This window comes from Homo sapiens, chromosome 4 (genome assembly GCF_000001405.40).
Source record: "Homo sapiens chromosome 4, GRCh38.p14 Primary Assembly".
NCBI classification, from domain to species: Eukaryota; Metazoa; Chordata; class Mammalia; order Primates; family Hominidae; genus Homo; species Homo sapiens.
In genome coordinates, this window is record NC_000004.12 from 2,738,607 (window position 1) to 2,761,155 (window position 22,549).

Genomic DNA, 22,549 nt, shown 5'->3' on the forward strand with positions numbered 1-22,549 from the left:
TGCACCTGGTTGTGCACTTTGCATGGGAGGAGAAATGGCCAGGTGTGTGATTATGTACTGATTCATGGGCTGTAGACAATGGTTTGCCTGGATGGGACTTGGAAGACAATGGTCAGGGGCTTGAAAGAAGCATTATTGGAAAATTGGTGACAAATTTGAGGAAGAGGTATGTGGATGGACCTCTCCAAGTGGTCAAAAACTGAAGATATTTGTATCCCCTGTGAGTGCTCACCAGCGGATGACCTCAACAGAGGAGAATTTTAATAATCAAGTGGGTAGGATGACCTGTTCTGTGGACACCACTCAGCCTCTTTCCCCAGCCACCTGCCATCGCCCAATGGGCCCATGAACAGAGTGGCCATGGTGGCAGGGATGGAGATTACACATGGAGATTCAGCAACATGGACCTCCACTAGCCAAGGCTGACTTGTCTACAGCCACTGCTGAGTGCCCAATTTGGCAGCAGCAGAGACTAACACTGAGCCTCAATATGGCACCATTCTTCAGGGTGATCAGCCAGCTACCTGGTGGCAGGTTGATTATATTGGACCTCTTCCATCATGGAAAGGGCAGAGGTTTGTCCTCACCGGAATAGACACTTACTCCTGATGTGGGTTTGCCTATCTTGCACGCAGTGCTTCTGCCAAGACTACCATCCATGGACTCAAGGAATGCCTCATCCACCATCAGGGTGTTCCACACAGCATTGCCTCTGAGCAAGGCACTCACTTTACAGCTAAAGAAGTGTGGCAGTGGGCTCATGCTCATGGAATTCACTGATCTTACCACGTTCCCCATCATCCTGAAGCAGCTGGATTGATAGAACGGTGGAATGGCCTTCTGAAGTCACAATTACAACACCAACTAGGTGACAATACTTTGCAGGGCTGGGACCAAGTTCTCCAGAAGGCCATGTATGCTCTGAATCAGCATCCAAGATATGATATTGTTTCTCCCTTAACCAGGATGCACGGGTCCAGGAATCAAGGCACTCAAGTGGAAGTGGCACCACTCGCCATCACCCCTAGTGATCCACTAGCAAAATGTTTGCTCCCTGTTCCCATGACATTATGTTCTGCTGGCCTAGAGGTCTTAGTTCCAGAGGGAGGAACGCTGCCACCAGGAGACACAACTATTCCATTAAGCTAGAAGTTAAGATTGCCACCTGGACACTCTGGGCTCCTCCTACCTTTAAGTCAACAGGCTAAGGAGGAGTTATGGTGTTGGCTGGAGTGATTGATCTGGACTATCAAGATGGAATCAGTCTCGGCCGGGTGTGGTGGCTCACGCCTGTAATCCCAGCATTTTGGGAGGCCAAGGCGGGCGGATCATGAGGTCAGGAGATTGAGACCATCCTGGCTAACACGGTGAAACCCCGTCTCTACTACACAAAATACAAAACATTAGCTGGGCATGGTGGCAAGTGCCTGTAGTCCCAGCTACTCGGGAGGCTGAGGCAGGAGAATGGTGTGAACCCGTGAGGCGGAGCCTGCAGAGAGCCGAGATTGCACCACTGCACTCCAGCCTGGGCGACAGAGCGACACTCCATCTCAAAAAAAAAAAAAAGATGGAATTAGTCTCTTACTCCACAACAGAGGTAAGGAAGAGTATGCATGGAATACAGGAGATCCATTAGGACATCTCTTAGTATTATCTAATGCCCTGTGATTAAGGTCAATGGGAAACTACAACAGCCCAATCCAGGCAGGACTACAAATCAGGAATGAAGGTTCGGGTCACTCCACCAGGAAAAAAACCACCATCTGCTGAGGTGCTTGCTGAAGGCAAAGGGAATACAGAATGGGTAGTAGAAGAAGGTAGGCATCAATAACGGCTATGACCACATGACCAGCTGCAGGAACCAGGACTGTAATTGCTGTGAGTATTTCCTCCTTTTGATAAAAAACGTTTGTGCATGTATACGCTAGTACTAAGAAAATCTCTTCATTTCCTTTCTCCTTTATCGTGTGACATAAGATTTATTGACTTCACATCAGCATTTAAGTACCGTCAGTCACCTTGGCCGGGTGTGGTGGCTCATGCCTGTAATCCCAGCACGCTGGGAGGCAGAGGCAGGCTGATCACCTGACGTCAGGAGTTCGAAACCAGCCAGGCCAACGTGGCGAAACCCCTTCTCTACTAAAAATACAAAAATTAGCCGGGCGTGGTGGCAGGCGCCTGTAATCCTAGCTAATCGGGAGCCTGAGGTGGGAGAATCACTTGAACCTGGGAGGCGGAGGTAGCAGTGAGCTGAGCCGAGATCACACCACTGCACTCCAGCCTGGGGAACAAGAAACTCCGTTTCAAAAAACAAAAAGTAAAGTATTGTTACCTTTATGTAATAGTATTATTTGGGTTGGGGACTGGTGCGTTTCCGGTTGTATGAAGGATAGTTGTATTATGTTAGGCATAATTGTGACTTTATTTTTGTCTTTATTTGAAGATTATTATCTCAGGACTATGTATGGGTTCAAGTAGACAAGGGGTGGACTCATGATGGTTAATACTGAGTGTCAACTTGATTGAAGGATAGGAAGTATTGATCTGGGTGTGTCTGTGAGGGTGTTGCCAAGGAGATTAACATTTGAGTCAGTGGGCTGGGGAAGGCAGATCCACCCTCAATCGGGGTGGGCACCATCTAATCAGCTGCCAGCGTGGCCAGAATAAAGCAGGCAGAAAAACGTGAAAAGAGAGACTGGCCTGGCCTCCCAGCCTACATCTTGCTCCGTGCTGGATGCTTCCTGCCCTTGAACATAGGACTCCCAAGTTCTTCAGTTTCGGAACTCGGGACTGGCTCTCCTTGTTCCTCAGCCTGCAGACGGCCTATTGTGGGAACTTGTGATCGTGTGAGTTAATACTTGACACACTCCCCTTTATATATCTATCTGTTCCATTAGTTCTGTCCCTCTAGAGAACCCTAATACAGCCAGGCTCCCACTGACCCCCTTGTCTTGGTGCCCTGGCAGAAGGCAACAGCAGGAGTGTTTTCCCATGCCAGCTGCTGTAAATACTGTTCAGTCCCTGCACCCCAGCTTCCAACACAAATTCTCAGAGCAGTCACAGCAGCAAGAACGTTTATTATAAAAATAGGTGAATAAAGTAAGTGTGCTTTAACTTCCGGCTGGATGACAAATGCTACTGAAATGCAGTTTCTCAGTGCAGACATGTGGCTCGCAATGGCGGGGGTGGCCACCCTAGTGTGACGTGCAGCCGCAATACTCCATTTGACTGGTTCGAGGCAGAGAGGCGACGCTTTATTCCATAGAACAGGATGGGGCTCCCACCCTGGGGACCATACAAGTGACTCCCTCAGGCAGCCACCCCTTTCTAGGCAGGCTGGGGGAGGGGCTGGCACACCAGCACCAGATAGCTCTGGCTTAAGCCTGATGGAGACACAGACTGGGACCTCCCTCTGCCAGATGTTCCTGACCCCATCTCCACCTCCAGCCTCCAGCCTCACTGGCAGTTCCCTGTGACCCAGCCTGTTCCATAGCCAAAGGGACCAAAGTGAACGATCAGAGTGCCCCGCAACTATTCTAGGGGCCTTGGCTCTCAGTAGAGCTCAACCCATGGCATCTGAGAGCACCCACCCTGTCCCTGAGGGCAGCTGCACCGGGCCAGGAGGCCGCAAGGGCACGGGTGAGTCTCGGTCACTGGCAGCACTCAGCCACATGCCTGAGGAGCTCTTCCCCTTGCTCGTCACTGAAGCACTGCAGGCAGTGAGGGCACTGAAGGTCCCCCTGGCCTCTCTGGGCCGCGCCAGGATGCCCGCCCTCTGCAGGGGGTTCTGGCTGCTGGGACCCAGTCCCAGGCCTCCAGCCACCAGGCACCATAAGCTCTAATGCGTCGGCGGCCAAATACTTGGCAGTTTTGCTCCCAGCGTGAATCCGGCCGGCGTCTGGCTCTCGAGAATCCTGGAGAAAAGGCAAGGGTGTATATACGTGGGCTGTGCTGACGGTCACAAAGCCAGGTCTCAGGTTCCAGCAACCAGAGGCACTTCACCTATCCCTGAGCGGAACTTCAGCCCCTCACTTTGCTTCCTGCTGCGCCCCAGAGCCCAGACAAGGGGGCGCTCAGTGAATGACTGAGGATCACACACACGCTCCGTCATGTGCTCATGAAGAAGTAGGCCCTGGCGTGGTCCACCCCCCAGCCCCTTGGTGGAAGTCCTGTTCAGTTGGACCTATCGGCCCCAGGAGACCTGACTGAGAAGGTGGCCCTGATGACGTGGCCCACAGGCCACCACAGAGTGGAGGTGGCAGAGCCTCTGGTGGGGAGCTGGGCAAACTGAGTACCAACCCTACTCTGCACCTCCTCTGTGGGGCCTGGGGGTGCTGAGCACTCTGGGGCTCAGGGGGTCCTTCAGTAGCAGCAAGAGGTGTCCCTGGCTTGGCCCCACCAACCACCTGGCATGATCTGGCACATGTTCTCCAAACATCCGTCCTGAAGCACTGCAGCCTGTGGCCCTCACTGCTTGCCTGGGAACTTCATTCCAGCAGGCCTTGGTGCTTCCACTTCCTGTCTGAATGTGGACTTTCCCCAGTGGGACTACAGCTTATCACCCATGCCTTCAGCACCACTGTCCCTGGCTGTGCCATCTAGGGACTGAGCAACCCTCGAGGGGCCACAGGCTACTGTTGAAAGGGAACCAGAGGCCACTTAGTACAAGGTCTGCAGGCCCCACCAGGAACTTTACCCCCGGGGGTAAGAATCTGGGCCTGCAAGTCTGGAACCAGTTCATCTGGTCCAAAATCTTCAAGAGGCGGCCTGAGACCATCCTCACGATTGTACCAATAGTGCTCCTTCAATCCAAATCACATGCTTCCTTGAATTCATGAAGGCCAGAAAAACCTGTCCAGCCCTCTGCTGCAGACTTAGTCCCAGGGTTAGTCCCATAGTCCACCATGACTCTCCCGTGCCCTTCATGCGGAGGAGAAGCAGAAACCACTGAGGCCCAGTGGCTGCTCGGAACAGGGCAGTGGGGGGTGGCCTCACAGCCCCAGGGTCCCTGTTCACACCCTGAAACACGGCTGACGTCCTAGCTCCAGCCCGGGACGCATCGATTCTCAAGAGGCATCACTACTGTTCAGTCTGTGCCAGGAGAGGAAGCTCTTTGAGTGGGGCCCAGGCTATTCCCAGGGCCAAAAGTGTGTTAGGTACTTGATGAGGAGCTACATAAACTTCTCCTGGATTTTTGCAGAGCACAAGTCAGTGAGGAGAAGGAAGAGGCCATGGGTCACACACTGAGGAACTTCATCGGTTCCCATTCATGCCAGGCCTCCCTCAAGGCACCCCATGGTAGGAAAAGCACTGAGCCCAGGGGTGGGGTGAGGGGCCCCTGCCCTGCAAGGCCCAGCTCCACGTGCCAGGCTGAGCTGGGGATGTTACTGGACACCCAGGGCCATCACATCTACATGACAAGGTAAGCGGGGTTCCCGTCTCACAGACAGGTCAGGACACGTAGGGAGCTCACACTTTGAGGCCCGAGATATGCTCTCTGACTGCATGACAGTGACGGACGGGCCCTGAGGACAGCCACCTCTGCTAAGACAGGCCGCCATGCCAGCCTCCTCCATAACTAAACAGTATAACAGGGAGGCTTTCCATGACCACGCCCAGGTACCAGGCCAGGTGGCTCTCCCCACAGCAGGGAGGGGCTCGCCACAACCCTCATCACCAGCAAATCAGGGCCTTGGCAGACACAGAAAGGCTCTAATCTCATGAGAAGAGAAACAAAAACACTAAACCTAAGCAGGAAGAAAAACGCCCTCATACTCTACCTGTCTCCAGGACACCTGGTGCAGCAAAGAGGCGACCTTTTCCTCCAGTTCTTGAATCCTACTTTGAGCCCGTTCCCGATCGGCCCTTTCTGACATGAAGTCATCCTTGTAAGCGAGAATCTGAAGAGAGGCGAGACACACATTTCTGCTCAAGGAAGGAGGAAGCGCCCCACCAGGCTTCTCCCACCCCCACAGTGACCACTGCCCACTCAGTGCCACCAAGCCTTCAGCCCAGCCTGTCCCATGATTTCGGCCACCACCGGCCAGCAGACATCTGGTCAGTGCCGTCCGGAGCCCGAGGGACAGACACCTGCTGTTCCAGCATCTGCACCCGCTCCAACGCAGCATCCCGGGCCGTCCTGGAGGCCGCCAGCTCCTGCTTCACTTCGGCACAGTCATTTATTTTCTCTTCCAACTGTCTGTTGAGCCGGGAGATCTCCTTCCTCATCAGCTCGGGCTCGTGGGGGATCTGCAGCCCCCTGAGCTGCGCATGGAGCCCCCTCACGTATTCGTCCCTGCTGGCGTTGTAGCGCTGCCACTTGGCATTGAGGTCTTCAACCTGAAGAGGTGGAGCCGGAAAGCTCACGGTGAAGGCAGCTGACAAAGCTGCTCAAGCCAGCACCCAGTGTGAATTATGTATTAGCAGTGATTCGCTGAGTGAGAGTTTCCTCTTAAATGGAAGCTGCCCCTCCCTGTTCTGTAGAGAGCAGACACTAGGCCCGCTAGAGAATCCTGAGGCAGCACGATGACACCCGTACGCAAGCAGCATGAACGGAGGTGGACTCGGTGCAGCTTTGCTGTCTTAGAAAATGGACCTCCTGCTGCTAACTCTTGCATCTCCTTTACTGACTTGTGGATTAATTTTAGGGGGATGGAGATGGACAGGACATGTCCCGTACGTCGTTTTAAGCAAAAAAGTCCAGTCTCTAGGGACTGTGTGTATCAAGTCCTAGTGGCCAGAGGGCGGGGGGCGACTCTGGGCATCAGCCAAGGAAAGAACCCTCACTTACAGTTTGTAAGCCATGTGTTCTTCTCAAACGAAATGTGAAAGACACTCACGTGAGTCACCTTCTGTTTTAACAGTCGATTTTCTTCCTGCAACTTCTCAATAACACTCTGGACAGAGGTGTGCCCATCTGTGTGTTCCGACTGCATGAGGAAGGGACAGAGAGAAGACACTCTGTCACATACAGCAAGAGGGGAGAAAGCTAGACCCAGAGGCTGAGGCCACAGATTATCACTGCGTCCCCCAGTGCAGCGGGTAGTGATCATTCATTTGGTAGAGAAGCAAAGCAGGGACAAGGGACCACCTTCTCCCTGCCCAGGCCCACCCCACCTGGCCCAGGCCAGAGCCCGGATGGGAGGTCTTCAGGCCACACCACCTTTCACACTGTCCTTATCCCGTCCCACCTACCAGTTTGAGCTGTTTGTCTTTTAAATATTTGGAATGTAAATATTCTAAAGCCATAATGTCTGCAGGGATTGGCACACCAGACATGATAAAGTCTTCTCATTGCCAGAGATTTGCCATTATCACAGACAGCAGGGAAGGCAGGAAGCTGAATCCCATTGTAAACCAGAGGATCTCCAGTGAGGGGGCCCCCAGCTGCCCAGGGTGGGCCTGGCCATGCACCCTGCTTACCTCCTTTGGAGCCCATGACACTGTCCTGTCTGCAGACAATCGGGTTCAACCAGGTGATTCTGGACACAGGAATCTAACCTCTGCCCCACGCAGGGTCAGGAGTCACCGAAGCCACAACCCAAACCAACCCCCACTAACAACTACAGAGCTGAATGAAAAGTCTCCTGAAACTCGTGTGTACCCTACAATTCTGACTGTATCTCAGTGACATAATTTTTGAGAATTCCCCTCAAATGACAAAGGAAGTGCACGTCCTAACACAGCCTACACCGGGAAGCCCCGGGTGACTCAGCTGAGTTCAGGGCTGAGAAGTGACACTTATTTAGAGACTGTGATGAGGGCCTACCCTGCCACTGGCCCCACCCCCGCCTCAGGCTCAACACTGTGTGTGGCTCCTTTCAAATCCCCAGAGGGAAATGACACAGTGACTCAAAATCAGACCAGAACACCCTGCCTCCGCCCAGACGGCACTTTTCCTCTGGTTTCTGAATGCAGCTGTGTCCTCTCTGAGGTTCCCCGCCTGGAATCCACCCAGCTGAGGTGGGCAGTTCTCAGACCAACCTTCTCCCCAGTGGGCGCCTCGGTGAAGCTGCTGATGGGTGCGGGATGTACTGTCTGCCACAGAACATCCCAGCGCGTGTGTTTCTGCATGAACCTTGGTGCTGCCTCAGAGAACTGCCTAGAAAGGACCCGAGCGAGAGGCCCTGTGCCCGGCAGTGCGAGTGAGATGGGGTCTCAGCCTAGGTGAGATGTGCACGGAGTGCCTCCATTCCCCTGCCTGCCACACACAGACCACCACAAGCACCAGCAAGATGGAAGGTGCCTGGCACACAGATGCCTTGGGCCACTGCTCCCCTACTTTTCTGCCTAGGAGCCCCCTGGTTTCTCCTGATGCTGAAACTCCCACGGTCCTTCTCTCTCCCACTAGACCCCACAGAGAGCTACAGCCCAGATCCAGCCTATCCTGGAGGTCCAGCGAACCCTTCTTTGGCCCTCACTGTCACTTGGTGCCGCTGCCCCCGGCCCTTGCTTTGATGATGAGGAGGCTGTGGCCCTGAGCCAGGTCTCCAAGCTTGCGGGAGGCCGTGCTGCTGGCAAGGACATGCCTAAAGCCAGCTTTGGAGATGGCGGTTCCAGCTGTGCCTGCATGCACTCAGACACACTGAGCCTGAAGAAGGCGGGCACTCACGGTCCTTCCAGGAGTTTGGGGTGTGGAACTGGAGGCACTCCCCATCCCCAGCAGTACCACCTGGCTCTGCTTCAGTTTCCTCGGATGGAGGATGTGACTACACTTCCTCCAGGCAGCTCTGCCAGGCTCAGCTCCTCCTCCTCATCCTCAGCTGAGGCAGATGAAAGCCAAGTGCCATCTCCCACCTGGGAGCGGGGTCGGCCACAGGCCTGGTGCTGGGCAGTGAGGTGGCTGCCTGCTTTCCTATTACATTTTGCATGTTCCATCATTTTAAAAGAAACCCTTGGATGAGTGAGCTTTGCCCCGTCAGCTGACTCTCGTTACTGAGAACAGAAGTGGGTTCTGGGGCGCCCCCCCACCTCTGTGATCAGGGGCCTGTAGGCGATGCTCCCAGCACACAGAGGTCTTCCCCACACTCTGCTTACACTGTGGCCTACCTGGTCAGGACTTCTCTCCCCCACATTCCTTTGTGCATGCTGTCGTTCATCCAGACACTTGGCCAGATGCTGACACATGTGGGCGGTGGCGGTCAGCGTCCTCCGCAGCTGATGGGTCTCGTTGGCCAAGGAGCGGCACAGGACGTCACTGGCGGCCCGGGCGCGCTCCCCTTCTGCCATGCTCCTCCGTAGCAGGACGACTTCCTTCTCTCGCTCGTGTTGGGGCTGGCTCAGCAGCTGCTGCATCTCCCTCTCTTTTTCTTCTAGTCGCTCAGTCAGCCTCTCAATTTCCTAAGTGGAAGATTTAAAAGCACAGTTTACTGAATTAAAAGAAGCAGTGTCAAGAGCAAATGTTCAGAAAGCAAAAGAAGACCTGGCGTGGATGCCCCATCACCAGACACAAACATACTCACTCAGAAGTTGGGCGTTTGAACTAACAATTACTCACTCAGAAGTTGGGCATTTGAACTATTAACTCTGGAGTTTTTCAGCCTACAATGTTCTGTTCTGAAACTTCATCTCAAATTTTTTTTTTTTTTGAGACAGAGTTTCACTCTGTTGCCCAGGCTGGAGTGCAATGGCACAATCTTGGCTCGCTGCAACCTCCACCTCCCAGGTTCAAGCGATTCTCCCACCTCAGCCTCCTCAGTAGCTGGGATTATAGAGCCCACCACCAAGCCCAGCTAAAAGAATTTTTTTTTTTTTTGAGACGGAGTCTCGCTCTGTCGCTCAGGCTCGAGTGCAGTGGAGCGATCTCAGCTCACTGCAAGCTCCGCCTCAGAGGTTCACACCATTCTCCTGCCTCAGCCTTCCGAGTAGCTGGGACTACAGGCACACGCCACCACGCCCAGCTAATTTTTTGTATTTTTAGTAGAGATGGGGTTTCACCATGTTAGCCAGGATGGTCTCGATCTCCTGACCTCATGATCCGCCTACCTCGGCATCCGCCCACCTCAGCCTCCCAAAGTGCTGGGATTACAGGCGTGAGCCACCACGCCTGGCCCAATTTTTATATTTTTAGTAGAGACGGGGTTTCACCATGTTGGCCAGGCTAATCTCGAATTCCTGACCTTAGATGATCCGCCAGCCTTGGCCTCCCAAAGTACTGGGATTATAGGCGTGAGCCACTGCGCCCAGCAATTTTTTTTTTTTTTTTTTTGAGGCAGGGTCTCACTGTCACCCAGGCTAGAGTGCAGTGGCACAATCATGGCTCACTGCAGCCTCGACCTCCCCAGGCCCAAGCGATTCTCCATCCTAACCTGAGTAGCTGGGACTACAGGCACGTGCCACCGTGCCTGGTTAACTTTTTTGTATTTTGTAGAGACAGGGTTTTGCTGTGATGCTCAGGCTGGTCTTGAACTCCTGGGCTCAAGAGATCCACCCGCCTTGGCTTCCCAAAGTGCTGGGATGACAGGTGTGAGCCACCACGCCCTGCCAAATTCTATTTTCACAAGCAAGTTCATAATTTTAGATTTCATATCATCAAAATGTTTTTTTGAGATGAGGGTTTCGCTATATATAGCCCAAGCTGGTCTTAAACTCCTAGGCTCAAGCAAATCCTCCCACCTCAGCCTCCTGAATAGCTGGGACTACAGGCTCAAGCCACCACACCCAGTTATCATCAAATTATCAAAGTGGCAATTCCAAGCACTTTTTTGATGGGATAGGTAGAAACTCCACTGTGGTGGGTAACCCCAAAAAGATGTCCACAACCAAACCTCCCATTCCCCGGTATCTGGGAATGAAACCTTACTTAGAGATAGGGTCTTTGCAGATGTAATTAGTTAAGGTGGGGACAAAATGGATTAGGACGGGACTGGTGTCCTTGTAAGCAGACAGAAGTCTGGACAGACACACAGAGAGAAGACGACCACGTGACAACAAAGATAGGAGTGACGTCTTGTCTTGTGGATAAAGGCCAAGGAACACCAAGGATTGGTGGCCCCCACAGGAAGCTGAAGAGGCGAGGAAGGGTCCTTCCCTAGAACCTTGAGAGAGAGCCGATGCCTTGGTTTCTGGCTTCTGGCCTCTAGAACTGTGAAAGATTAAATTTCTGTTGCTTGAAGCCCCCCAGTTTGTGTTACTTTGTTACAGCAGCTCTAGGAAATTAACACACCCAACCCCAATTACTTCTTAAAGAATTTAAAAAGGTTCTTAAAATGACAATTTTATTTTGAGATAGGGTCTCGCCCTGTCACCCAGGCTGGAGTACAGTGGTGCCACCATGGTTCACTGTAGCCTCCACCTCCCAGACTCAAGTGATCCTCTTGCCTCAGCACCCTAAGTAGTTGGATTACAAGTGCATGCCACCGTACCTGGCTAATTTCTGTATTTTTTGCAGAGACAAGGTTTCACCACTTTGCCCAGTCTGGTCCTGGACTTGAGTGATCCGCCTGCCTCAGCCTCCCAAAGTGCTGGGATTATAGGCACGAGCCACCACATCTGACCTGACAATTTTTTAATATCTGGCCTTAAATTTGTACTTTTCCGTTTTCAAAGAATCCTCCAAAATAAACAGTACATTACATGAAGGAGGTGAAGCAGGCTCAACTAGTCCATCCCACAAGTGAAGAAACAGTTTCAGAAAAGTCACGGAGGAGCCCAAGCTTCCCCCAGAAGTGGCGGGAGAAGGGTCCAGCCTCTGTGTCTAGTACTTGAGGTAAGAAGGGACAGAGACCGGGAACCTAGAATGTTCTCATCACAATGGAACAAAATACTAAGCCCTATTACTGCGAGAACCCTGATTATTATTATTATTATTATTATTATTATTATTATTTTATTATTTTAGAGACAGGGTCTCGCCCTGACACCGAGGCTGCAATACAGTGGTATAATCACAGCTCACCGAAGCCTTGAACTCCTGGGTCCAAGTGTTCCTCCCGTCTCAACCTCCCAAATAGCTGGGACCATGGGCTCGAGGTCAAGGCTGCAGTGTGCTGTGACGGTGCCACTGCACTCTAGCCTGGGTGACAGTGAGACCCTCTTCAGGGATAAAGGACTTTGAGCAAAACCTGACTTCTGGTTTTTTTTTTTTTTGATAAAGACAGGGTGTGGCTATGTTGCCTAGGCTGGTCTTGAACTCCTGGCCTCAAGCAATCCTCCTCCTGCCTCAGCAGGGGTCACCGTGCCCAGGTAAAATCTGATTTCGGAGCCTCCTTCCTGCGTTGGTCAAATGCTGACAGTAGGAGAAACAAACAGCTCCACAAACAGGAGGGCAGCATGTCCACAGCTCGTAGATCCTGAGGGCGTGGCTCTCTCTTGCCTCCACACCCTAGTACTCAACACTGAGCCCAGCCCCACACAGATGCCCAGTAAATGGGAATAAGACTGGGCCATACAGAGACAGATCAGGACGCAGGCTCTACGCTCAACCCGTGGGGGCAGGCCAGCCCTGCAAAGGGCTGCCCCACTCATCCTCCCCTCGGCAGCATGAGGGCCCCAGGACCCCTCCAGCCCCCGGGCTTCTGGCATTTGTCACTGGCTCTGAAGTTGCAGAGCTTTGTGCTGGTTTATCTGTCTGAGTGCCTTGTCCAGTTAGTAACAGTTCTTAGGACACAACAGCACCTCGACCACTGTGGTCAGAAAACAAGGTACGAGCTGGAGTTGTGGGTCTACACACACAGGCACAACACACAGACTAGTCAGCAACTGGGCTGACATCTCTCAGGAAAGCCTGTCGCCGGGACCCACAACTCCATAGCTCCACGCTCAGAACACAAAAGTGTAAACAGCTCTATTAATAGTCTTGTGGATTGGCCTTAAGAGGCACAGTGGCCTCTTGGCTTTTAGCGCTGCGGCAACAAAGTATCACAAACTTGGTGTCTTAAACAACAGAAGTGTATTCTCCCAAAGCCTGTAATCCCAGCACTTTGGGAGGCCGAGGTGGGAGGATCACTTGAGCCCAAGGGTTGGGACTAGCCTGGGCAACATGGCGAGACCTTGTCTCTACAAAAAATACAAAAAACATTAGCCAGGCATGGTGGTGGGCGTTTGTAGTCCCAGCTACTCGGGAGGCTGAGACAGGAGGATCACTTAAGCCCAGGAGGTCAAGGCTGCAGTGAGCTATGATCATGCTACTGCACTCCAGCCTGGGCAACAGAGTGACCCTGTCAAAAAGAGGGGAGGGGAGGGGAGGAGAAAGGAAGAAAGAAAGGAACAAGGAAGGTGGCCCGGGGCGGTGGCTCATGCCTGCAATCCCAGCACTTTGGGAGGCTGAGGTGGGTGGATCACGAGGTCAGGAGTTCAAGACCAGCCTGGCCAACATGGTGAAACCCCGCCTCTACTAAAGATACAAAAAATTAGCCAGGCGTGCTGGTGGGCGCCTGTAGTCCCAGCTACCCAGGAGGCTGAGGCAGGAGAATCGCTTGAACCCGGGAGGTGGAGGTTGCACTGAGCCAAGATCCCGCCACTGCACTCCAGCCTGGCGACAGAGCAAGACTCAGTTTAAAAAAAAAAAAAAAGGAACAAGGAAGGAAAGAAAGAAAAGAAGAGAAGAGAAAAGAAAAGAAAGAGCCAAGAAAACAAGCAAAGCAAAGCTAAGCTAAGCCGGAAGGGAAAGGGGGCTGATACGCCAGGACCAGGCAAAGCCTATGAAGCTGGTCCCGAGAATGGTGACAGGATGGGGTTGGGCAGGACCAGGTTGCACAATGAATTGGTGCCATTATTCCAGAAAGTATTAACTGGAGGGGCTTTGTAAAGTTATCCACTCAGGCCTTGTGTTACAGATGAGGTAAGGTCTCAAGTCCAGCTGTGGCTGCACTGAGGACCACAATTCTCTGGCCTGATCTTGCCCCATCACACACTGACCGCAGCTTGATCACAGACGCACTGGTCAGCTCCTCCACATTCTGAGCCTCAGCACTCTCTCTGGGAGCCCTCAGTCCCTACTGGTCCAGGGTTCCTGCTCCTAACGGGCTCTCATAGATGAGAGCAACCTAGCAACGGCTTGCTTCCTGCTGTGTCTTTAACTCTGCACTGCCACCTCAGTGAACCCAGGGCCTGCAGGAGGTGACAAACCTCTCCATTCTTCCACAGGTTCCATGACCGACCTCAGATTGAACGTTGGGATGAGCAATAAATATGTAATTGCATAAAATACCAGATAAGGCCAGCACAGTGGCTCACGCCTGTAATACCAGCACTTTGAGAGGCCGAGACAGGAGGATCCCTGGAGGCCAGGAGTTTGAGACCAGCTTGGGCAACATCATGCGACCCCTTCTCTACAAAAACTTAAGAAGTTAGCCAGGTGTGGTGGCTCATAGTCCTTGTGGTAGGCTCTTCGCCTATAGTCCTAGACACTCGGGAGGCTGTGATGGGAGGGCTGGTTGAGCCCAGGAGTTCAAGGTTACAGTGAGCTATGATGGCCCCAAGGCATTCCAGCCTAGGTGGCAGTGTCACAGACCAAGACCCTGTCTCTAAAAAAATAAAAATAAAAATAAAAAAACAAACAAACAAAACTAAATCATTAAAATGTTCCTTAAATAATTAAAAATCCCCCCATGCTGGGCGTGGTGGCTCATGCCTGTAATCCTAGCACTTTGGGAGGCCAAGGCAGGAGGATCACTTGAAGAAAGGAGTTCTAGACCAGCCTGGGCGACACAGCAAGATCCCGTCTCTACAAAAAAAAAATAAAATTAGCCAGGTGTGATGGCACACTCCTGTGGTCCCAGCTATATGGGAGGCTGAGGCAGGAGGATCACGTAAGCCCAGGAGGTTGAGGCCACAGTGAGCCATGTTTGTGCCACTGCACTCCAGCCTGGGTAACAGAGTGAGACCCTGTCTCAAAAAAATAAAAAAATAAAAATCCCAAAACAAAACCTACATGCTTACATGTTGGGAAGACAGGACCAGGGCCAGTAATACTGGGAACACAGAACTAATTCTATCTGAGGCTACCAGGAAGCTGCAATAAGCTGCTTGGTGAGTGGCCAGATACACAGGACACCAGGGAACACATGTGAGCGGAACACCAATGGCCACCGACTGCAAGTATACTGCTCTGGTTGTGAGGTCCCTGCATCCTGTCCCACCAACATTCTGGAGATGACTTCGGAGTGTCCTTCCGGGTCCTTGGTCTGTACTCATCTGTGGCTCCTGGCATCCACAACTCTAAAACCTGTTGGTGCAGACCAGGTGACCTCTAAACTTCCCTTCTGCTCTAGTGAGTCAGGATGTACCTTCCAGAAAGAGGGAGAGAGTGGAGTAGGGGAGACACTGGCTGCTGAAAGTATTTTAAATGATGTAGATACTGACAACCTAATATTAAGTACAACTGTATACACAGCATGAAAACAACCATGCCAAGTGTACACACACCTTATACACAGAGGAAAAACAGGAAGAAGGCATGCCAAGAGATTAACACTAGTCATCCCTGCACTGTGGGACTACAGCGGCTATTTTATTCTTTATTTTTCAGATATTCAAAATTGTTTTATAATTTTTTTTCTTTTTTAAAAAGGGCATGTTTCTTTTTCTCTCTAAAATCAGGCTGTGGGGCCAACCCTGGAGACAAAAACTATCTTTCGCAGACTACTGCCTTTGCAGGCTTAGTTTCTTTCCTGGGCAAACTAGGATAATAGCCATGAATCAAATGGAATAATAGATGCCAGAGCTCACCCGAATGTTTCAGATGCTTGCAAATACTATTGCACAAAAAAACTGTTACTTATACTGCTGTTGTGGTGTTATAGTTTATCATCAAAAAACAGACATAAACATCATAGACAAGGACAAAGAGAAGAAAGTCAGGATTTGCGTCTTTTTTTGTTTGTTTTTGAGACGGAGTCTCGCTCTGTCGCCCAGGCTGGAGTGCAGTGGCACAATCTCGGCTCACTGCAAGCTCCGCCGCCCGGGTTCATGCCATTCTCCTGCCTCCGCCTCCCAAGTAGCTGGGACTACAGGCGCCCGCCACCACGCCCAGCTAATTTTTTGTATTTTTAGTAGAGATGGGTTTTCACCATGTTAGCCAGGATGGTCTCAATCTCCTGACCTCGTGATCCGCCGCCTTGGCCTCCCAAAGTGCTGGGATTACAGGCATGAGCCACCGCGTCCGGACCCTTGTGTCCATTTTTAATTTAATTTTTTCAGACAAGGTCTCACTTTGTCACCCAGGTTGGAGTGCAGTGGTGCGATCTTGGCTCACTGCAACCTCTGCCTCCCAGGCTCAAGTGATCCTCCCACCTAAGTCTCCCTAGTGGCTGGGAGCACGGGCACGTGCCACCATGCCCGGCTAATTTTTTGCACTTTTTGTAGACAGGGTTTCACCATGTTGCTCAGCCTTGTCTCGAACTCCTGGGCTCAGGCAATCTGCCCGCCTTGCCTCCGAAAGTACTGGGATTACAGGCGTGAGCCACTGCACCCAGCCTAGGATTTGTGTCCTTTATCAGACACGGGCTGCATTTGCCATTGCTCCCAGCATAGAGTTGAAGCGCCACTAGTGAAAGACACATGCATGGGTGAGGGCTGGAAGGGACTCTAGAACACAATATGAGTACACGACCTTGGACCCAAGACACACATGTGTGCGTACACACACACACCATACACACCCCTCAGAATGTGTCTCCCGCACACACACCTCAAAACACCCCTAAGAACCAACCGGAACATACACACTACACAATACACACAGAATACACACAGCATACACACACCCCCCTCGGAATGTGTTCCCACACACGAACCTCAAAATACCCCTAAGAGCCCACCTGAACATACACCACACACACACAGAACCCAAGAACTGCACCAACCCCCCTCCTCAGAACCCAGTGCCTCCTCACCATCCCCCAGGACCCAGTGCCCTCCCAACCCCCCAGGATCCAGCATTCGCTTATCCCCTTCAGAACCTTGCACCCTCACCCCGCAGGACCCAGAGCCCCCTCACCTCCACCAGCACCTGGTGACGCCTCAAACCCCCCAGGACCCAGCACACCTCAGCCCGTGGTGTCCCCTTATCCCACTCAGGACCTGGTCCCCCTCTCTCCCCTAGGACCCAGGGTCCCCTCACCCCCCAGAAGCTGTTGCCCTATCACCCCCAGGACCCGACGGCCCCTTACCCCCAGGACCTAGTGTCCCTCAACCCCAGGACCCGGCACCCCCTCAACCCCCAGGACCTGATGCTCCCCCAACCCCTCAGGAGCCGGGGCCCCCTCACCCCCAGGACCCGGCACCCCCTCAACTCCCAGGACCTGGTGCTCCCCCAACCCCTCAGGACCCGAGGCCAACTCAACCCCAGGACCCAGTACCCCCTCAACCCCTCAGGACCCGGGGCCCGCTCGCTCACCCACCCAGGACCCGGCGGCCGCCACACGCACTCTCGCTCCCGCAGCTCCTCTGGTACCCGCCCTCGTACCTGGCGCATCTGGGCCTCGGCGGCGCCGCCCTCCTGCCTTCGCAGCTGCTCCCGGAAGCGCGCAACCTGCTCCAGCAGCGCGTCCACTAGGGACGGCGCGGCGTCCCCCTCCAGCGCGGCCAGGCGGGCGCGGAGGCGAGCGATGAGGGCGTCGCGGGCAGCGAGCTGGTCCTGCAGGCGGCGCAGCCGCTGTCCGGCCTCGTGGTACAGGGTGCAGAGCGCGGCAGCTGCGCGCGGGGCCTCCTCCCAGCCGCCCGACCCCGGGTCCCGGGACATGGCTGTAGGCCCGCCCGGGAGGCCGCGCGGCCGCCGGCAACTTCCGCGCCCGGGCCCCGCCGGCTGCCGCCCTTCCCGGAACTTTCCCCGGTGCGCCCCGCCCACCCACAACAGCCCGGCCCCGCCCTCCCCCACGCAGCCCCGCCCCCCGCGCAGCCCCGCCCTTCCCCGCGCAGCCCCGCCCGACGGCAGCCCGCCCAGCCCCTTCTCGCCCGGCCCCACCCCTCCCACCGCCTACAGCCCGGCCCCGCCCCTGCCGTCCGCACCCGTCCGGGAGAGTTGGCCTGGCCCCCGAGGCTGTCCACACCCCAGCTGGTGCTGGGCTTATTCCAGTGGCCCCAAACATCCGCCTCTGAGGAGTTGTCGGAGAGTCGAACTCAGCCCAGGAGTTTGGGGATTCATCAGCCTCTGATGGAAAGGAAGGGCTTAACGACAACCCCCAAGCTCTGGAGCTAAGTGTGGGTCTGAATCTCCCCGCGAGGGTCCAGGCCTTGCGGCCACAGCAGCAACAGAAGCTCCAGGAGCTGAGCTCGCAGCGCACCAAGCACGTGGCATGTGTTCCGTCACCTGGGGACACTGAGCCCAGAAAGAGCTCCAACCCCCTGCCCCGCACGCCGCTTTCTTTTTTCTTTCCTTTTTTTTCTTCTTTTTGAGACGGAGTTTCGCTCTGTTGCCCAGGCTGGAGTGTAATGGCGCGATCTCGGCTCACTACAACCTCCGCCTCCCAGTTTCAAGCGATTCTCCTGCCTCAGCCTCCTGAGTAGCTGGGATTACAGGCGCCCGCCACCATGCCCTGCTAATTTTTTGGTATTATTAGTAGAGATGGTGTTTCACCATGTTGGCCAGGCTGGTCTTGAACTCCTGACCTCAGGTAGATCCACCGGCCTCAGCCTCCCAAAGTGCTGGGATTACAGGCGTCAGCCACTGCAGACGCTGCTTTGTAAGGTGGCTAGTATGGGCCCACGGGACAACCTTCCTGCTAGATGCTGTTCTTATATAGCAGAAGCAGCAGGAAACCAGCCCCTTCCCACCCTTTCGCTTTTCCATCCCTTTCCTTCCCCAAAATTCCCAGACAAACGCTAGTGTTTTTCCACAGCCCAGTCTTCCCCACAATGATGCCCAAGCACACATGGGGTCTTTCCAAGGTTCCCTACTCAGGATAGGGCAGGGGTCTTCCCTGTGTGTGCACTTGCCCACAGGCTCCGCCCCTGAGCAGCTTCTTGACTTTCTTCCCTTATGTGATCCACAGCCAAGCCTGAGCTGAGCCTGGGAAAACACAAGCTTGTAGAATCAGACAAGCCTATAAGCAAAGCCAGAGCCACCCAAGTGCTTATGGCCCGGACATTGGGCTACACAGGCCTGGCTTTGCTATGGAAGGCTCCTTCTTACTCATCAGAGCCTGGGCTTCCTCTCAGCAGAAGGAAGGGCAGAGCGAGTGCCCACCCTACCTGGTTGGGCTGTTGTGGGGACTAGAGGGTGGAGTGTGCATGGAATGCTTGTCCAGTGCAGTGGCTGCTGCACAGCAAGCCTACAGTCCCCATGGCTATGGTTACAAACAATGCCTATTGATTGTCTGGGGCATGAGTGGAAAAAACAAAACTGGACCCAGAGCTGTTAGAGGCTAATGTGTGGCCTGGGGCACGTCATTCCAGTGACCTACCTTGAGCCTCTGCCTCAACTGTAAAAGGTGCATGTGACAATCCACAGTCTCTCATCCAACAACAGCCTTGGGGTCAGGTGTGGTGTATTGTATTGTATTGTACTGTACTGTATCGTATTGATTTATTTTAGACGGAGTCTCAATCTGTCGCCCAGGCTGGAGTGCAGTGGTGTGATTTTTGGCTCATTGCAACCTCCGCCTCCCAGGTTCAAGTGATTCTCCCACCTCAGCCTCCCAATTAGCTGGGATTACAGGCGCCCGCCACCACGCCTGGCTAATTTTTTGTATTTTAGTAGAGACGGGGTTTCACCATATTGGTCAGGCTGGTCTCGAACTCCCGGCCTCAAGTGATCCGCCTGCCTCGGCCTCCCAAAGTGCTGGGATTGTAGGCGTGAGCCACCACGCCAGGCCGCCATGTGTATTTTAGAAATGAGGATCTTTGGATTTCAAATAGGTACATATAACTGGGGGAGCCAGCTTTCAAAGAGGATCCCCTCCTTCCAATATCCATGCTCCTGTGTAGTCCCCTCCAATCCACTGGAGAGGGCTGACCTGGGTAACTAAGAGGGTACTGCAGAAATGATGGAGTGTGACTTCTGCAGCTAGCTCCCACAAGACATCACGGCTACTGCCTTGCCCTCTTTCGGAGCATTCTCTCTGGGGGAAGCCACCCACCCTATCATCAAGTAACCCTGTGAAGAGGTCCATGTGGCAAGGAACTGAGGCTTCATGGCAGCAGCCGGCGCCCACTTGCCCACTGTGGTGAAGAAGCCACTTTGGGACTGTATCCTCCGACCCTAGTCAAGCCTTCAGAAGACAGTAGCCCCCACTGACATACTGACTGTGACTCCATGGAAGACCCCGGGCCAGGACCGCCCAGCTAAACTGCTCTGAGTCCCTGACCACAGAAACTGGATGAGATAATATATGCTTATTGTTTTAAGCTACTAACATTTGGGATAGTTTGTTCTGCAGCAATGGAAAATGAACAGCTAAAATCTGACTTAGTGCTCCCACTGGGACATGGTACAGCACCACAAAACCAGACAGATTACAATTTCTGCAAAGACAGGGTGACCATTCAGACTGCGAGATGAATGAAGATCAGAAAAAGCCTTGTAGCTGTTGAAGTCAGATTTTGTACCACCTTTAAGAAAAACATTTTGGGGCCAGGTGCAGTGGCTCATGCCTGTAATCCCAGCACTTAGGGAGGCCAAGGCAGGAGGATCTCTTGAGCCCAGAAGTTGGAGCCCAGCCTGGGCAACATAGCAAAACCCCATCTCTACAAAAAGTTAAAAGAAACTAGGTGGGTGTGATGGTGTGTGCCAGTAGTCCCAGATACTCAGGAGGCTGAGATAGGATTGCTTGAGGCAGGGGTTTGAGGCTGCAGTAAATGGTGATTGTGCCACTGCTCTCCAGCCTGGGCCACACAGTGAGACCCTGTCTCTGAGAAAAAAAAGAAAGAAAGAAAACTATTTTGGGTTTCTGAGCTTTTTAGATTTCAGAATTGCGGATGAGGGATCCCAGACCTCCAAGAACACTTGTCTTAGAGGGTGTTGTAAATATTCAGTAAGGTCACATGGGAAGTGCCCAGCATGCTCTTGCCTTCAATGCAAATTTAGGTACTGGGCCAGGCACTGGGGACTCATGTGTGGACATTGTAATAGTGGAGACAGATCCTTTTCCAAAACAAGAATAATTGCAACGTAAGGAAATTTTGTGTAAGGAAAGGAAGGGGAAAATGTGTATAAGAAAACAACAGGCTGGGTGCGGTGGCTCACACCTGTAATCCCAGCACTTTGGGAGACCAAGGCAGGCAGGACTCCTGAGGTCAGGAGTTCGAGACCACTCTGGCCAACATGGTGAAACCCTGTCTCTACTAAAAATACAAAAATTAGCCAGGCATGGTGGCGGGTGCCTGTAACCCCAGCTAGTCGGGAGGCTGAGGCAGGAGAATCGCTTGAACCCGGGAGGCAGAGGTTGCAGTGAGCCAAGATAGCGCCATTGCACTCCATCCTGGGTGACACAGCGAGACTCCCTCTCAAAAAAAAAAAAAAAAAAAAAAAAAAGGAGGAACCTAACTTTAAAGAGGGTGATTAGAGACAAGATAACAGTCCAGCTCTGCAACCTAAAGGGTGAGAAGGAGCCAGGCATGAGAGTTGGCTGAGTGAGTTCACAACTGGGTATGGCCTAGAGTTGGGCAGGAGCTGATACAGGGAGCAATTTCTTTCTTTTCCTTCCCTCCCTCCCTCCCTCCCTCTTTCTTTCCGCATTCTCTTTCTTTGTTTCTTTCGAGACAGCATTTCACTCTGTCACTCAAGCTGGAGTGCAATGCTGCGATCTCAGCTGCAACCTCTGCCTCCTGGGTTCAAGTGATTCTCCTTCCTCAGCCTCCTGAGTAGCTGGGATTACAGGCACGTGCCACCATGCCTGGTTAATTTTTGTATTTTTAGTAGAGATGGGGTTTCACCATGTTGGCCAGGCTGGTATCAAACTCCTGACTTCAAGTGATCTGCCTGCCTTGGCCTCCCAAAATGCTGGGATTACAGGCGTGAGCCACCGCGCCCAGCCAGCATTCACTTTCTGTGTTCTGAAACTCATCTAGATTTGTGCAGGATGGGGCTAGTGCAGCAGGCCTAGTGTGTTCAACCCTGCATGTTCCAAAAAAGGGACTGGCCCTAGACCTTTTGGAATATCCCACCTGATAAGAGTGTCTTTGCTTATGTGGGGGCCTTGGACCACACCAGCTAGTCTAAGCTAACTTGAGGCCTTGGGTCATGAGCTTGAGCTCTGAAGGAGCTGGAGACCGAGTAACTCAGGTCAGCCATATGGGCACTCCCCGCCTATGTGATCAACCCCTAACCACAGCTCTGGACACAAAGTCTCAGGTGAGCTTCCCAGTTTGGCAACACTCCCAGTACTGTTGGGAGAGCGATATCCTGTGGGTACTTGCACCTGGTCTCCCCGCCGGGCCCGCTCTATGTGCCTTATTTTTCCTTTGCCGATTTTCTTCTGTGTCCTTTTGCTGTAATGAATAACTGTGAGTCCTTCTACTGAATCGTCAAACCTGAGGACTGTCTTGACAACAGGGCTTTTTGCAGCAAATGTGTATTTGTGCTAGATGGACTGTTGCTCCCAGCTTTTTACCACCTCCCGCCACGCCCTTTTGCCGTGTGACTTTGGGCACCTGCCCTGGAGTAGACCAA

The 22,549-nt window shown here is 53.1% G+C and overlaps 1 protein-coding gene across 4 annotated transcripts, besides 6 other annotated features; it reads right to left on the bottom strand.

Moving 5' to 3' along the window:
* Positions 1-3,041: 3,041 nt before the first annotated feature.
* TNIP2 (TNFAIP3 interacting protein 2) lies at positions 3,042-17,730 on the bottom strand. Of its 4 annotated transcripts, none has more exons than NM_024309.4 (6): positions 17,408-17,730; positions 9,049-9,339; positions 6,840-6,929; positions 6,091-6,339; positions 5,781-5,900; positions 3,042-3,914 (listed from the first exon to the last, which is right to left on the bottom strand). In NM_024309.4, exons 1-6 carry the CDS (start codon positions 17,681-17,683, stop codon positions 3,651-3,653), a joined length of 1,290 nt encoding a protein of 429 aa, NP_077285.3. In that variant the 5' UTR covers positions 17,684-17,730; the 3' UTR covers positions 3,042-3,650. The 4 variants fall into 4 exon arrangements, with proteins under 4 accessions (NP_077285.3, NP_001154999.1, NP_001278945.1 ...); NM_001161527.2 differs by having other exon boundaries at positions 17,343-17,730; NM_001292016.2 differs by lacking the exon at positions 6,091-6,339.
* Positions 6,236-6,736: an enhancer, noted in NCBI's record as "H3K4me1 hESC enhancer chr4:2746569-2747069 (GRCh37/hg19 assembly coordinates)". NCBI's record gives its function as "activates a minimal SCP1, AML or CMV promoter by ChIP-STARR-seq in naive H9 embryonic stem cells {active_cell/tissue: H9 hESC(naive)}" and the evidence as "EXISTENCE:reporter gene assay evidence [ECO:0000049][PMID:30033119]".
* Positions 7,332-7,771: an enhancer, noted in NCBI's record as "active region_21181". NCBI's record gives its function as "activates an Ori minimal core promoter by ATAC-STARR-seq in GM12878 lymphoblastoid cells {active_cell/tissue: GM12878}" and the evidence as "EXISTENCE:reporter gene assay evidence [ECO:0000049][PMID:35858748]".
* Positions 9,182-9,231: an enhancer, noted in NCBI's record as "active region_21182". NCBI's record gives its function as "activates an Ori minimal core promoter by ATAC-STARR-seq in GM12878 lymphoblastoid cells {active_cell/tissue: GM12878}" and the evidence as "EXISTENCE:reporter gene assay evidence [ECO:0000049][PMID:35858748]".
* Positions 17,273-17,332: a silencer, noted in NCBI's record as "silent region_15178". NCBI's record gives its function as "represses an Ori minimal core promoter by ATAC-STARR-seq in GM12878 lymphoblastoid cells {active_cell/tissue: GM12878}" and the evidence as "EXISTENCE:reporter gene assay evidence [ECO:0000049][PMID:35858748]".
* Positions 17,353-17,872: a silencer, noted in NCBI's record as "silent region_15179". NCBI's record gives its function as "represses an Ori minimal core promoter by ATAC-STARR-seq in GM12878 lymphoblastoid cells {active_cell/tissue: GM12878}" and the evidence as "EXISTENCE:reporter gene assay evidence [ECO:0000049][PMID:35858748]".
* Positions 18,053-18,192: a silencer, noted in NCBI's record as "silent region_15180". NCBI's record gives its function as "represses an Ori minimal core promoter by ATAC-STARR-seq in GM12878 lymphoblastoid cells {active_cell/tissue: GM12878}" and the evidence as "EXISTENCE:reporter gene assay evidence [ECO:0000049][PMID:35858748]".